The 17654-nt window shown below is 36.2% G+C and overlaps 1 protein-coding gene across 2 annotated transcripts in view; it reads left to right on the forward strand.

Moving 5' to 3' along the window:
• KYNU (kynureninase) overlaps window positions 1-16588 on the forward strand; it is a 178170-nt gene extending 161582 nt beyond the window's left edge. For both annotated transcript variants that reach the window (NM_001199241.2, NM_003937.3), the window contains 2 exons: window positions 1183-1413; window positions 2802-16588. In NM_001199241.2, coding sequence (NP_001186170.1) covers window positions 1183-1413; window positions 2802-2927 — 357 coding nt within the window. In that variant the 3' untranslated portion in view covers window positions 2928-16588. The remainder of the gene's footprint in view (window positions 1-1182; window positions 1414-2801) is intronic.

The following is a 17654-nucleotide window of genomic DNA, read 5'->3' on the forward strand; positions in this document are numbered from 1 at the left end:
TAACTGCTTGTTTTCTTATTGTTAAACTGGAAGAGATTTGGGAGTCAGTAAAGCAGTTATAAATATCACCAGTAACACTGCTTTACACATTTGCACATGTTTAGATCATATTGCACTTTTTTGAGGATAAACAAACTTTACATCAAAGTTGGAAAAGTCTTCTTGATTATGATTTCAAAAAGTGGTTTTGGGGAAAAGCTTACATTGTATGATATTTAAATCCATTTATTAAGGTATGTTTTACTTGATTATACTAACTTAATTTAAAATAATTTTGAAGGTATGTTCCCGGACCAAATTGAGGGTTGGGCTGCTATTTCTCATGGCCCAATAACAAGATGCAGATGAACAGGGGAGGAAGAGAGTTTTTATTTCTGTAACTGGTTACAGGGAGAAGGCCTGGAAATTATCACCAGACCAACTCAAAATTACAAAGTTTTACAGGTGTAAGTGTGCATTCATCTGAAGACATAAGTGATTAACTTCTTTTAATCTACAACTAAGGTCTGAGTCCTGAAGACCTTCCTCTGGAGCCTCAGTAAATTTACTTAATCTAAATGGGTCCAGGTGCTGGAGTGATTACCCTTATCTTGTCTTCTGCTAAATCACTGAAGTTTGAGGAGTTCCTTTAGACCTTCAATAAACTTGTTTGTAGAGGCCTGGAGAGTTTCTTCACAACCACAGTAAAACTTGTTTAATCCTGAATGGGTCCTGTTAAGAATTCCTTCATTATTCTGTCATGCTTTAAGGCCCAGGGAAAGCCTAGGCAAAACTCTTGATAGGCTTTTGTTCATCCCAGCCTTTGTATAAGGGCACTGACTTTTTTAGTTTTTAATATTTAATGTAACCACTCGGTCAGTACTGAAACAGTTGTGATGGAGGCCTGCATTAGTGAAACCTGGCCTGCCACAGGTACATGATATTAACTTACATTTTCTTCCTTTGCAAGTTTTATTTAAGTGACATTTGTACAATTTTTCTGTCATGGAAATTTTACCTTCAGTATTTAATAGCAAAGCATTTAAAGGAGGGCATGATTTTACACAAAAAGATTATGTAAAGGGAGATATTTATTGGAAAGATCAAATATGGGCATTTCCTTTTTATGCATGATTTACTCTTAATTTTTGCTTCTTTGTAAATCAATAAGACACTTTAATCTGATTGTTTCTCATTCCACAGATCTTTAAGCAAGCGACAATGAAGGCATTGCGGAAAAAATCTGTTTTGCTAACTGGCTATCTGGAATACCTGATCAAGCATAACTATGGCAAAGATAAAGCAGCAACCAAGAAACCAGTTGTGAACATAATTACTCCGTCTCATGTAGAGGAGCGGGGGTGCCAGCTAACAATAACATTTTCTGTTCCAAACAAAGATGTTTTCCAAGAACTAGAAAAAAGAGGAGTGGTTGTAAGTATGTCTTGCTTTGCTACCAGATTTTGTCTATGGGCCGCATGTTAGGGATAAAATTTGGACTCTTTGGTTTATTCATTGTTGCATGTTATTTCACATCAGTCAGTCAATTAAGGATAAATTAAGTGCCAACTAAGCCCTCAGCACTGTGCTAACTGAAAGGCATAGAGATCTGTCGTTTCTGATAAAAGAGAAGATACCACAAACTTGGCTTATAGGAATAGTTTTTTGTAACTTACTCATTCTTTTCATAACAGTTTGGGCAGAAAAAAGTTATTATTTCATCATACTCAGTCAGGACATTGTTTTCTCTAGTCTGTACTACAATTCATTTATTGGATGAATGGAATTAAAGATCATACCAATTTATTGAAGGGTTAAAAAAGAAAGTCTTATTTAGTCGCTTGATCAAATTAAGTTATTTTCAACCTTGTCACTTCTGTCAAAAAAGATATATATACACTTCTCAGGAGTGGTAACATTGCAAGGAATAATTTTTTTTTAACCCTTCAGCCTATATGACCTTCTTGGTCTCTTGAAGAGAACTAATAAATGTGAACTGAGTAATTTCAGGGAAAAAAGATAATGTATCTACTTCCAATGATTATGTAATTAAGGCATTGCTTGGCTCATGTTTACCTGTAGGAGAGGTTACTCCCAGATGCTGGAGACACAAGTCAGAAATTCAAGTTTCTAAATCAAACTCTGCTGTCGTCAAACTCTGTCCTCTTTGGAAAGTTCATTAGGATCTATTGGCTTGAAATTTTCATCCGTATTTGGGGTATAAAATAAATTACCTCCAAGAGTTGTGATTGGATTGAAATGGGACAGCACACATAAACTATATACTATATTGTCTAGCCTATAGCAGGTGTTTTCTAAAGTTAACCATAGTGATCTCTAGGCATGTCAAATTATCTGGTGCTACTTCAGGACCTACAATGTAGCCCACTTCTTATTTGTGAGATCAAAGATTAGAGAATTAAGTTCAAGGATAATTTACTAAAACTCTCCAGACCCTAATGAGGTTTTCATTCACTTAAATTCACCCAAGAATTCCAGTCCTTCCATGGGGTCCCCACGGGAAAAAAAAAACAAAATGTATTTATGGTCTATTAAATGCTTAAGGAAGATAGTTGCTGAATAGATTTCAGGAATCTATCTTGGCTATTTATGCACCAATCCATTCTTATTTCTTAAATTATTATCAAGAGAAAAGTTTCATAAAACAGAAAAACACCATGTTTTAAAGTAAAAAAATTTTGCATATATATTAATTTTTAGGGAAATCATTATGAAAGTGCTTTACATAAGTTTATCTGGAATGTAGATTTTCAACGTGTGAATAATGCTAACATTATTGTGGCTTTATTTTTTCCCCACAGTGTGACAAGCGGAATCCAAATGGCATTCGAGTGGCTCCAGTTCCTCTCTATAATTCTTTCCATGATGTTTATAAATTTACCAATCTGCTCACTTCTATACTTGACTCTGCAGAAACAAAAAATTAGCAGTGTTTTCTAGAACAACTTAAGCAAATTATACTGAAAGCTGCTGTGGTTATTTCAGTATTATTCGATTTTTAATTATTGAAAGTATGTCACCATTGACCACATGTAACTAACAATAAATAATATACCTTACAGAAAATCTGATATAATTTTTCAGAGTCTGTGGCACTAAGGAGTCCACAGGGCTGCCTAGGTGCTTTGTGTTTGGGGGACCAAAACTGTGTTGGTTCAAGTATTATCTATACAGTCTCTATAAGCTGTCACATTTCATGGTCATTGAAATGTTTTATGTTGGTTTAATTTCTGATTTAACTGACAACTTCATAATGTATGTGCAATTATTGTGTCAAATTTAGAAATATTACTTTAGCTTCAATTTACCAAGGAGTTTCTTTGAAGCATTGTAGTCTGATATATATATATATATATATATATATATATATATATATATATATATATGTGTGTGTGTGTGTGTGTATATATATATATATATATCATATATATATGATAGTGGCTTTCAAATTTTTTTGGGTACAATCCACATTGCTCCTGCTGATCTGTAATATCAGAAACCAGTATTTATGTGAATATATGAGAAATATTATTGATTCTAAGATATTTTATCATATTTTAACATCTTTGAAAGAGGACCCATCTTTCAATTTTCGATCAATAGTTTCTTACAGTCACCATTGGCCATCTTTCTCGTTACCATCTATGAAATTAGCATGCATCTCAAATAAACAGTTACCATCTTCTATTTGATAAAATAGTCTAAATAGCAAAAATAAAAGTTTTTACAATTATTTGCCTGTGCTCTAATAGGTACTATTCTATTTTATCTCATAAGAAATGTTGGAAACTCATTATATTGATTTCCTTACCCACTCATGGGCCCTAATTCACACTTTTTAAGAATGTTTCTTTCTTTAATGTTATCATAATCTCTTACTTTTTAAATGAGAACTTCCCCTAATATAAGAGCTTAGATATTATATTACTATGTTTCCATAGTAAATAAATAACCCCAAGATCTTTTTGGGGATTAGAGATATAAGAAATATGTGCTCCATCTCTTGACATCTTTATCTCAAATCTATGGACCTTTCTTACCCACTGTGAAAAACCTAAAGTTACACTTAGCCCTGTTGGACTTACCTAGTTTTCAATTGTTGATGCCACAATCATTATTTATAAGTTGACAAAATAGTGTAGATTTGTATACATAGTCAACAAAAAGAGTGACATAATTATTGCCTCCAATTAAACAAGTTTGAATGAAATAAACAAACTTAGATAAACACTTCGGATGGTAGACGTAAACAATAATATGTGGAACTCCAACATCAACACCTACCAATACCAGTAACTACTGATATTTATCATGTACTTACCATGTACCATGTATTGTGCTACATTACTCATGTTATCTCCCTTAATTGAGTGGCTACATACTGCTTTAGCAAATCTTCCTACTGTAACTAATCCTCATAGATGGAAGAGTTCTCAAAACCTTAAAACTCATGCATAAGTGGATTCATATACATATATAAAAATATATATAAATATATATACTTTATATATATTTATATTTATATATTTATATATTTATATTTTAATATATTTATATAAATATATATAAAGTATAATATATATAAAGTATAAATATATATATATTTATACTTTAAGTTCTTGGATACACGTGCAGAACATGCAGGTTTGTTACATAGGTATACATGTGCCGTGGTGGATTGCTGCACCCATCAACCCGTCATCTACATCAGGTATTTCTCCTAATGCTCACCCTCCTCTTATCCCCAACTACCCAAAAGGACCTGGTGTGTGATGTTCCCCTCCCTGTGTTCATATGTTCTCATTGTTCAACTCTCACTTATGGGTAAGAACATGCAGTGTTTGATTTTCTGTTCCTCTGTTAGTTTGCTGAGAATGATGGTTTCCAGCTTCATCCATGTCCCTGCAAAGGACATGAACTCATTCTTTTTTATGGCTGCATAGTATTCCATGGTATATATGTGCCACATTTTCTTTATCCAGTCTATCATTGATGGCCATTTGAGTTGGTTCCAAGTCTTCGCTATTGTGAATAGTGCTGCAATGAACATATGTGTGCATGTGTCTTTATAGTAGAATGATTTATAATCCTTAGGGTATACCCAGTAATGGGATTGCTGGGTTAAATGGTATTTCTGGTTCTAGATCCTCGAGGAATTGCCACACTGTCTTCCACAATGGTTGAACTAATTTATACTCCCACCAACAGTGTAAAAGCATTCCTATTTCTCCACATCCTCTCAGCATCTGTTGTTTCTTGACTTTTTAATGATTAGCATTCTAACTGGCGTGAGATGGTATTTCATTGTGGTTTTGATTTGCATTTCTCTAATGACCAGTGATGATGAGTTTTTTTTCATATATTTGTTGGCCGCATAAATGTCTTCTTTTGAGAAGTGTCTGTTCGTATCCTTCACCCACTTTTTGATGGGGTTGTGTTTTTCTTGTAAATTTATTTAAGTCCCTTGTAGATTCTGGATATTTTCCCTTTGTCAGATGGATAGATTGCAAAAATTTTCTCCCGTTCTGTAGGTTGCCCGATCACTCTGATGATAGTTTCTTTTGCTGTGTAGAAGCTCTTTAGTTTAATCAGGTTCCATTTGTCAGTTTTGGCTTTTGTTGCAATTGCTTTTGGTGTTTTAGTCTTAAATTCTTTGCCCATGCCTATGTCCTGAATGGTATTGCCTAGATATTCTTCTAGGGTTTTTTTTTTGGCTTTAGGTCTTGCAGTTAAGTCTTTAATCTATCTTGAGTTAATTTTTGTATAAGATATAAGAAAGGGGTCCAGTTTCAGTTTTCTGCATATGGCTAGCCAGTTTTCCCAACACTATTTATTAAATAGGGAATCTTTTCCCCATTGCTTGTTTTTGTCAGGTTTATCAAAGATCAGATGGTTGTAAATGTGTGGTGTTATTTCTGAGGCCTCTGTTTTGTTCCATTGGTCTATATGTCTGTTTTTGTTCAGTACCATGCTGTTTTGTTTACTATAGCCTTGTAGTATAGTTTGAAGTCAGGTAGTGTGATGCCTCCAGCTTTGTTCTTTTTGCTTAGGATTGTCTTGGCAATACAGGTTCTTTTTTGGTTCCATATGAAATTTAAAGTAGTTTTTTCTAATTCTGTGAAGAAAGACAATGGTAGCTTGATGGAAATAGCATTGAATCTATAAATTACTCTCAGCAATATGGCCATTTTCAGGATATTGATTCTTCCTATCTATGAGCATGGAATGTTTTTCCATTTGTTTGTGTCCTCTCTGGTATCCTTGAGCAGTGGTTTGTAGTTCTCATTGAAGTAGTCCTTCACATCCCTTGTAAGTTGTATTCCTAGGTATTTTATTCTCTTTGCAGCAATTGTGAATGGGAGTTCACTCATGATTTGGTTCTCTGTTTGTCCTATATACATATGTTGGTATATAGGAATGCTTTTATTTTAAAGATGGAAGATGATGTCTCTCTATGTAACTCAGGCAGGTCTCAAACTCCTGGGCTCAAATGATCCTCCTACCTTAACCTCCTGAGTAGCTGAGACTTTAGTCACACACCACCATGCCTGACCAGGAATTGTTTTTCAACTTCATAGTGGTAAACAAAACATATGTGTTTTCAGTTCTCATGGAACAAGCAGCTTAGTAGGAGAAACATATGTTGAACTTGTAAGCAGAGAAGTAAATCTATAATGACAAATCATAATTTCTGAAGGGTATTAATTAGATGTTTGAGTGAGGGGAAATATTGGAAGGTGCTCATAAGTTTATAAATGTTCTAAAATATTTCATGCTAATCACATTAAAATTATATCAAAGTATATAAACATATCATGGAAAACATAATCAGCACCATGTACTCAACACCTAGGTTAAAAAATAGCATTAAAAATTCTCTTTCCAGCTCACATTCTGCTCCCTCCCCAAATCCACAGATAACCATCGAATTATATTTTGTTTTCTTCATTCCCTTACTTTCTTTAAGTTTTACACCCATGTATGTACCCATAAAAATCTATTAGCTAATTTTGGTTGTGCATGAATATTGTATCAATGCAATTATACTGTATATATTCTGCTTTTGCACATATTTTTAGATTCATCCATTTGTGGCATGTAGCTTTCCATTCATTTTCACTGCTGCTCAGTATTGTATTACAAATTTTACATTTGTTTTAGGGAAGAGTCATAAACCATCTTTAAGTTCTCCTATGTTACAAGTAATTTTGTAAATGATGTGAGGTGGTGATTCTATTTCATTTTTTCCCATATAGATAATTTATATTATTAATAATTCCTTCTATTTCATAAGCCAGGTTTCTATATATCTATATAAATATAGATATGTAGATATATGAAAGCAATATATATATGGATGTCTTTCTGGGCTATCTGTACTTTCACACTGGCTAATTTGCTTGTTTTTTCATCAATACTTCACTTCCTTAATTACTACAACATAGCAGGGCCTGGCATCTGCTAGATTAAATCTCTCAGCTTCTTTTTATTAAGATTGCCCTGAATTGTCCTGGTTATCCTGGGCCCCCTACTTTTTTTATATTTTTGAATACATCTAAATAAATTTAGAATAAATCTATTGTGTTCCATAAAACCCCTGTTGGGATTTCAATTGAACTGCAATTAAATTTTAGATCAGTTTTGGAAGAATTGACTCAATAGTGAGCCTTCCTACCCAAGACCATGGCATTTATTTTCATTTATTTATGATTTCTTTAATGCTTCTCAAAATTTTTTATTTTCTCTATTATGGAAACGCACATTTATAGTTTGACAAATTCCTAAGTACTTCTAATTTTATTGTCATTCCACATTATCTTTTTTGTTGTTGTTTTAAAAGACAGGGTCTCCCTCTGTCACCCAGGCTGGAGTGTACTGATGTGATTATAGCTCACTGCAGTCTCAACCTCCTGGGCTCAAGTGATCCTCCCACGTCAGCCTGTGGAGTAGCTAGGACTACAGGCATGTGCCACAATGCCTGGCTCATTTTTAAGTGTTAAGTTAAAAAAAGTTGTAGAAACAGTGTTTTGCTACATTTCCCAGGCTGGTCTCAAACTCCTGGCCCCAAGCAATCTTCCTGCCTCAGCTTCCCATATTCGGATTATACGCATGAGGCATTGCACCAGCCCCATGTGTTATCTTTTATAAAATTTAACATTTAACTGATAATTGATACTGTATATACATGAATTCAATTGGTATCTATTTTTAATATGGGAAATTTTATGCAAATGAGCACATTTTTCTCCCTTCCTTCCTTCCTTCTTTCCTTGTTCTCTTTCTTTCTCTCTCTTTCTCTTTCTCTCTTTCTTTCTTTCTTTCTTTCTCACAGGGTGTCACTCTGTTGCCCAGGCGGAGTGCAGTGGCACATGATCATAGCTCACTGCAACCTCCAACTCAAACACTTGAGTGATCCTCTGTCCCCCGTTTCCCAAGCAGCTGGGACTACAGGCACATGCCACGATGCCAAGCTAATTTTTAAAAATAATTTTTTTTGTAGATTCAGAGTCTTGCTATGTTGCCCAGGCTAATCTCAAACTCCTGGCCTCAAGCAGTCCTCCCTCCTCAGCCTCCCATTACAGGCATAAGCTGCCACTCCTGGACCTCTTTTTTTTTTTTTTTTTTTTTTTTTTGAGGCAGTCTCTCTCTGTCACCCAGGCTGGAGTATAGTGGCACGATCTCAGCTCACTGCGGGTTCAAGCAATTTTCATGCCTCAGCCTCCCAAGTAGCTGGGATTACAGGCATGGGCCACTATGCCCAGCTAATTTTTGTATTTTTCATAGAGACAGGATTTCACCATGTTGGCTAGGCTGGTATCAAACTCCTGACTTCAGGTGATCCGCCCACTTTGACCTTCCAAAATGCTGGGATTACGTGTGAGCCACCAAACCCAGCCCCTCATTTTCTTTTTGATTTTTATTTATTTTCCTCTGTTTTTCTTCTTTTGGATTTAGGGATGTGTGTGTGGAGGTGTATTGAGTCCGTTTTTTCTTTCTATTTGTGTGGAAATTATACACTTATTCTTTGTTATTTTAGCAATTACTCTGGCTATTTTAACATGCAAATATAATGAAGTTTAGAATTAGCCATTTTTTATAACTCTCCTTCTGACTAGTTGAAGAAATGAGAATGCTTTAACATCAAACAGCCAACTCTTTACTTATACACTATTGCTATTCATTATAGCATTTTTAGTCTAGCTTCCTCCCTCCTCTTTCTCTCTCTCTCTCTCTGTCTCTCTCTCTCTCACTAATGTTTGCTATTTCTCCCTACAATTCAGAATTTTATTTATGGATGAAGTACATATATAATTTATTACAATTCATTTTAATGAAAAACTTTTAGTGGTAAATTGTATTAGTCTTTGGGAAAAAACATTTATTGATACCATTTTCTCATTACTTAAAAATAGTTTCACTTCATATAGAATTCTATGTCGACAGTAATTTTCTTTCAGGAAGTAGAAAATATTAAGTTACAGTATTTTGGCTTCCATTACTGCTGTTAAGCATTCAGATCATCAGAGAAATGCAAATCAGAACCACAATGAGATGCCATCTCATGCCAGTCAGAATGGCAATCATTAAAAAGTCAGGAAACAATAGATGCTGGTGAGGCTGTGGAGAAATAAGAATGCTTTTACACTGTTAGTGGGAATGTAAATTAGTTCAACCATTGCTCTTAAGGGCTCTTTGTCTTTAATGATCCGCATTTTTATTATGATGTGTCTAGGCAGTTATTATTGTGTTTATTCTATTTCTTTATTTGCTGTCTATCCAAGATTTGAGGATTAATTTTTTAATTTCTAGAAAATTCAGAAGTATTATTTATTTATTCAATTATTACCTCTTTCTATTATTTCCTTTTTAAAATAAAAGGGTATATGTTAGAATTTTTCACTCTCTCCTTTATGCCTTTAACTTCATATTTTCTATTTCTTTGAATTTCTGGGCTGCATTCTTAAGAATTCTAAAACATATATTTTAGTTTCTAAAAGTTTCATTAGATTTCTGTTCAAAATTCCTTCCATTTGTGATCTTTCGAATGTGCTTCTGCTTTAGGCATTAGTAGTGGACATTCTGGTTCCCCATTGAGCTTCCCTGCATCAGCTGTTTTGCCTGGTGGCTGCCACCAACGCTTTTAGCTACCTCCCTCCTCAAACTTTGGGGTCAGGCCACACACTATAAAGGATTGGAAAAAAAAATGAAAATATGAAAAACTTACACTTTGTATCAGTCAGGAGAAGGATAATCTTCACACTACAGTTTATGCTTCAGAAGCCACCCCTTCTCTGTGGATTAGACCATGACTAGAAGTTTCCTGAGACCATCCCTTGCCCAGCTCTTTTGGTGATCCCCTTCACTTCCTCTGTTACAGGTTTCCCTGATGAGCACTCCTTCAATAAAACATAGTCATCCAAATCCCAATCTCAAGCACGGTGTCACGGGAACCTGATCTAAGTCAGCATTTTCTTTATTCTTAATCACAACTAGTTGATAGTCCATATCTAATATATAATGAATGTACAGTTGTTTCTGTTGGAGTTCACATATGATGCCTTGTTTCCTTTGTAGTTTTGTGATTGATAGCTTCGAACTGCTCATTTACCTTGACCTTTTGAATTCTTTGAAAACTGAGTTAAGTCTGATTTTCCAGAGTTTTTATGTTTGCTTCTGTCAGTTGCAGAGAATCAATGAGAAGAACACTTTAAATTCTTGTTTTCGGTTTTTTTCCAATCACATAAGTAGGATTTACCTGAATATATATATAATATATAAACATATATTTATATAAAATAAAAACATATAAAATATGAAATATATAATACAGTATAAAATCTATTTTATGTAAAATCTATTTTATGTAAACATGATAATTAAATATATATTTAAATAATATAAATATAATAAATATTTGAAGCAATTGTATTTTTTAAAAATTTCTTCTAAAGAAAACCAGGATACATGTGCAGAACCTGCAGGTTTGTTACATAGGTATACGTGTGCCATGGTGGTTTGCTGCACCTATTGACCCGTCCTCTAAGTTCCCTCCCCTCACCTCCCACCCCCCAGCAGGCCCTGGTGTGTGTTGTTCCCCTCTCTGTGTCCATGTATTCTCGCCTCCCACTTATGAGTGAGAACACGCGATGTTTGGTTTTCTGTTCCTGTGTTAATTTGCTGAGGATGATAGCTTCCAGCTTCATCCACGTCCCTGCAAAGGACATGATCTCATTCCTCAATACTATGGCTACGTAGTATTCCATGGTGTATATATACCACATTTTCTTCATCCAGTCATGCAAATTTATATGAATGTCAATTCTTTTATAGTGATCTTCTGGGGCTATTACAATATATAGGGCTGTTTTTTTAAAACTAATTATATTTATTTCATGTTGCTTTAACTTATTAAAAAACAGACTGAAGAAAGACTGGGTGTGAAGTCAGTAAATTAATTTCAAATTAAATAAACTTTTCTACAGCTATTTTATGCTCAATAACTTTCTACTTATTCTTGAGTTCAAAACTATATGGGTTCACATTTAAATTATATAGTGTATTTTCTCCATAAACTGAAGTTGTTAGAACATTGATTTTTTTAAGTAAATGGATTTTTGCACCACTTCAAGAAAGAAACCTTCAAACAGCCTGGAAATATCACATCAATAAAGCACAACCTGGGAATCAAAGTATTAGGGTACCTTGTTACTGAGATTATGGATGTGATGCTTCTGTGGGCCATTAGCATGTGCACTGTGTGTATGATATGCTCTATGTTCTCTTCCCACTAATAATTTTATTTTTAATTTCAGCAAGATTTAGTCTCAAATAACACAATAATAATGGAGGTCATTGTGAAGTAGTGGATGTAAATAGATCTGATGTGGTTTTGGTTTATTGCAGTAATTGTTTTGACTAATTCTCTAGTTTTTCAACTTTTGATTGTTTAAGATGGTTCTTGAGTCCTTTTGACATGACCCTATCTATTTTTGATAACTTCATAGCCTTTAGTATAAAAACAGGTAGGCTTATATTACATATTTCCAACTTCAAACTTGTTATTTATTTATCTAAGACTATACAGTTCTTTTCAGAGAAAAACCTTCTTTATAAACCAGAATCTTAACAGGAAGAGTGCTCATTTTAATTGAGCTGATCATGTTTCTAGGATTTTTTAGTTAAAAGAAAATACATATTTTAAAAATATAAATTATATTTTTATTTCATAGTGGTATTTTCAATTTTGTCTGGGATAATAAGATGTTTTATTTAACTTGTTTGATTTTGTAGTTTTATCTTTGTGGGAAGGACCTGGTAAGAGGTAATTGAATCATGGGGGCAGGACTTTCCCATGATGTTCTCATGATAATGAATAAGTTTCATGAGATCTGTTGGTTTCATAATGTGGAGTTTCCCTGCAAAGGCTCTTGTCCTGTCTGTGCCATTTGAGACATGCCTTTCAACTTCTGCCCTGATTGTGAGGCCTCCCCCGCCATGTGGAATTGGGTCTTACTTTTGTAAATTGCCCAGTCTCAGGTATGTCTTTATCAGCAGCCTGAAAACTGACTAATATAGTAAGTTGGCACCAGTAGAGAGGGGCACTGCTGAAAAGGTACCCGAATATGTGGAAGCAACTTTAAACTGGGTAACAGGCAGAGGTTGGAATGGTTTGGAGGGCTCATAAGAAGACAGGAAAGTGTGGGAAATTTGGAACTCCCTAGAGACTTGTTGAATGGCTTTAACCAAAATGCTGATAATAATATGAACAATGAAGTCCAGGCTGAGGTGGTCTCAGACAAAGATAAGGAACTTCTTGGGAACTGGAGCAAAGGTGACTCTTGTTATGTTTTAGACATAAAGCAAAGAGACTGGAGGCATTTTGCCCCTGCCCTAGAGATTTGTGGGACATTAAACTTGAGACAGATTATTTAGGGTATCTGGAGGAAGAAATTTTTATGCAGCAAAGCATTCAAGAGGTGACTTGGTTGCTATTAAAGGCATTCAGTTTTAAAAGGGAAATACAGCATAAAAGTTCAGAAAATTTTCAGCCTGACAATGCAGTAGAAAAGGAAAACCAATTTTCTGAGGAGAAATTTAAGCTGGCTGCAGACATTTACATAAGTAACAAGAAGCTGAATGTTAATCACTAAGACAATGAGGAAAATGTCTCCAGGGCATGTCAGAGACCTTTGTGGCAGCCCCTCCCATCACAGACCAGGAGCTTTAGAAGGAAAAATGGCTTCGTGGGCTGGTCACAGGGTCCCTCTGCTGTGTGCAGTCTAGGGACTTGGTGCCCTGTGTCCCAGCAGCTCCATCCATGACTAAAAGGGGCCAAGGTACAGCTTGGGCTGTGGCTTCAGAGGGTGGAAGCCCCAAGTCTTGGCAGCTTCCATATGGTGTTGAGCCTGGGTTCACAGAAGTCAAGAACTGAGGTTTGGGAACTTACACCAAGATTTCAGAGGATGTATGGAAATGCCTGGATGCCCAGGCAGAAGTTTGCTGCAGGGGCAAGGCCCTCATGGAGAACCTCTGCTAGGGCAGTGAAGAAGGGAAAAGTATGGTGGGAGCCCCCATACAGAGTCCCTACTGAGGCACCACCTAGTGGAGCTTTGAGAAGAGGGCCACTGTCCTCCAGAACTCAGGATGGTAAATCCACCACGCACCTGGAAAAGCTGCAGACAATTCCAGCCTGTTAAAGCAGCCAGGAGGGGGCTATACCCTGCAAAGCCACAGGGGCGGACCTGCTCAAGGCTGTGGGAGACCACCTCTTGCATCAGTGTGACCTGGATGTGAGACATGGAGTCAAAGGAGATCATTTTGGAGCTTTAAGATTTGACTGCCCCACTGGATTTCAGACTTTCATGGGGCCTGTAGCCCCTTCGTTTTGGCCAATGCCTCCCATTTGGAGTGGCTGTATTTACCCAATGCCTGTATCCCCATTGTATCTAGGAAGTAACTAACTTGCTTTTGATTTTACAGGCCCATAGGTGGAAGGGCGATGTTTCTTTCTGGAGGCTCCAGGGAGAACTCTGTTTTCTTACCTTTTCTGGATTCTAGAGGCTTCCCACAATCCTTGGCTTAAGGTCCATCTTTAAGCTTTGTCTCTGATGAGACTTTGGACTGCGGACTTTTGAGTTAATGCTGAAATGAGTTAAGACTTTGGGTGACTGTTGCGAAGACATGATTGGTTTTGAAATGTGAGAACATTTAAGAGGGGCCAGGGGCAGAATGATATGGTTTGACTTTGTCCGCAGTCAAATCTCATCTTGAATTTCTATGTGTTTGGAGAGGTACCCGGTGGGAGGTAATTGAATCATGAGGGCAGGTCTTTTCTGTGCTGTTCTCATGATGGTGAGTAAGTCTCATGAGATCTGATGGTTTTATAAAGGGGAGTTTCCCTGCCCAAGTTCTTCTCTTGTCTGCCATCATGTGCGATGTGCCTTTCACCTCTGCCATGATTATGAGGCCTCCCTGGCCATGTGGAACTGTGAGTCCATTAAACCTCTTTCTTTTGTAAATTGCCCAATCTTGGGAATGTCTTTATCAGCAGTGGGAAAACGGATTAATATACTAATTTATAGCTAGTAGGTAAAAAGCCAGGGACTTGCCATTAGCGTTGGAAGTGGGGTTGTGGGGGCAGTCTTGTGGAACTGAGCCCTTAACCTGTGGGGTTGAATGATATCTCCAGGTATATCATGTCAGAATTGAATTCAATTAGAGGATACCTAGCTTGCGTTCAATGCAGAATTGCTTGCTGGTGAGGAGAAATCCCTATACACATTTTGGTGACCAGAGGTAAAGCATTTTATGTTGATTCTTGAGTGAGAGAGTAGAAATAACACTGGTTTTTTCCCTATGTCCTTACAACCACCAATTGGATACATTGTTTCAGTATTTTGAAATTTTTCATTTAATTTTTATAAATTTTCTTTTTAAATTTTAGATTCTACAATATCTCCAATTCTTCAGTTTATTCCCTCTTACTATGTATAAGTATTTCCCCAAGTTTCACTTTATCTTTCTATTACTTTTTTTACATAATAGAGCTATAAAGGCAATTCACAATTCTCTCTTTTCTCATATATAATATAGAGCATATTATAAATACTCTACTTTGGAAAATTATTCTTTATAGGAAATTACAGATAATATTTGATGAAGAAAATCGAATATAATCATTTTTCAATACTTAGGATAACAGATTCAGGCAAAGATAAAACATTAAAGGAAAAGTTAGTGAAAACTATTAATATATAGTGGAGGCATCACGTTGTTATGAACTTCATTGATCAATACTGATACCACTAAAAATGGAACAACATGTAATTATGTGCTCAATGTGATGAATATGAAGTAGACTGCACCACTCTGCAGTACAGTCAGGAAATAAGAAACCAAGTCCAATCAAAATAGCCCTAAAGCTACCTTCCAGTTTATAAAAAGTATGAAGAATAGAGGGGCAATTAAATGATACCATAAAGAGTCAAATACAGGGCATGCAACATAGCTGCTGATTGGATTTATTCAACATGTCAGTGGCATGAATACAATAGGAGGCAGGTAGGGAGAAGGCACTACCCTGAATTATGAGACTGAAGAGATATAATAAACAAATGCAATGTGTGGACTTGGTTGGGATCTTCATTCAAAGACCAACTATAAAAAGACATTGTTGTGAGAATTGAGGAAATTTGAATGAGAAATGTATTTTTATCTAATTTGTTAGCTGTGATAATAGTATTGTGGGAGTAAGAAGCTATTCATATTTCTATATATATATACCAAGTACATAGGAGTGAAATAATACAAAATCTGGAATTTGCCTTAAAATTCCTCTGCAAAATTATAAAAAAGAACGATGACAAACTAAAAAGGTGTAGTATTCTTCTATGGCTGCTATAACAAATGACCAAAAAACATAGTGACTGAAAATAACCCACATTTATTATCTTACAGTTCCATAGGTTAGAAGTTCAACATGGGTCTCATGAGATCAAAAGCAAGGCCTTGGCAGGGTGACGTTTCTTTCTGGAGGTTCCAGGGGGAACTCTGTTTTCTTACTTTTTTTAGATTCTAGAGGCTTCCCACAATCCTTGGCTTAAGGTCCATCTTTAAAGACAGCAACGTTTCATCTCTCTACCTATTCTTTCATCCTTACATCTTTCTCTAACTATTCCTTTTCTTCTGTCTTCCACTTTTAAGAGCCTTTTTGAGTCTATTGAGGCCAACTGGACAATCAAGGATTATCTCCCTATGTTAAGGTCAATTGATTAGTGACCTAATTCCATCTACAATCACAATTCCTCTTTGCCATATAATGTAAAATATTCATACCTCTAAGGATTAGGACATGGACATCTTTGAGGGTCATTAGTCATCTTACCACAGGAAGGAAGGAAGGAAGGAAGGAAGGAAGGAAGGAAGGAAGGAAGGAAGGAAAGGGAGGAGAGGAGAGGAGAGGTAGGAGGGAAGAAGAAAAAAATAGTATGAAAAAATCTTGATAAATTTGAAAACTGGGTGAATAATATGTGGAATTCTCTCTATTTTTGTTAATGTTGGAAAATTTAATAAAAACAATGAACAGTGATGACTTCGGTGAGAATTTATGTCACCTGCCTCAAAATTTATGACTTCAATAACACCTTGTATGTAATATTTTTCACCATATATTCTGATGTTGGAAACAATCCCTTCTGCCTTTGTATTAGTCCATTCTCACACTGCTATGAAAAATACCTGAGACTGGGTAATTTATAAACAAAAGAGATTTAATTGACTCACAGTTCTGCATGGCTGGGGAGGCCTCAGGAAACTTACAATTATGGCAGAAGGTGAAGCAGGCGCCTTCTTCACAAGGTGGCAGGAGAGAGAAGAAAGGAAAAGTAAAGGGAGAAGAGACCCTACAAAACCTTCAGCTCTTGTGAGAACTCACTATCACAAGAACAGCATGGGGGAAATCATCTCCATGATCCAATCACTTTCCACTAGGCCTCTCCCTTGACATGTGGGTATTATAATTCAAGATAAGATTTGAATGGGGACACAAAGACAAACCATATTATTCCACACCTGACCAAATCTCTGGTCTTCACTTTTCAAAATCATGCCTTCGCAACTGTCCCCCAAAGTCTTAACTTGTTCCAGCATGAACTCAAAAGTCCAAGTCCAAAGTGTCATCTGAGACAAGGCAAGATCCTTCTGCCTATGAGCCTGTAAAATCAAAACCAAGTTAGTTATTTCCAGGATACAATGGGGGTACAGGCATTGGATAAGTGCTCCCATTTTAAATGGGAGAAATTGGCCAAAACAAAGGGGCCGGAGGCCCCATGCAATTTTGAAATTCAACAGGGCAGTCATTAAATCTTAGAGCTCCAAAATTATCTTCTTTGATTCCATGTCTCACATTTGGGTCAAGCTGATGCCAGAGGGGGGCTCCCATAGTATTGGGCAGCTCCAACCCTGTGGCTTTGCAGTGTACAGTTCCCCTCCCAGCTGCTTTCCCAGGCTGGCATTGCGAGTCTGCAGCAATTCGAGGTGCATGGTACAAGCTGTCAGTGGATCTCCCATTCTGGGGTCTGGAAGATGGTGGTCCTCTTCTCACAGCTCCACTAGGCAGTTCCCCAGTGGGAACTCCATGTGGGGGCTCCAACTCC

The sequence above is a fragment of the Homo sapiens genome, chromosome 2 (genome assembly GCF_000001405.40).
Source record: "Homo sapiens chromosome 2, GRCh38.p14 Primary Assembly".
In the NCBI taxonomy this organism is placed as follows: Eukaryota; Metazoa; Chordata; class Mammalia; order Primates; family Hominidae; genus Homo; species Homo sapiens.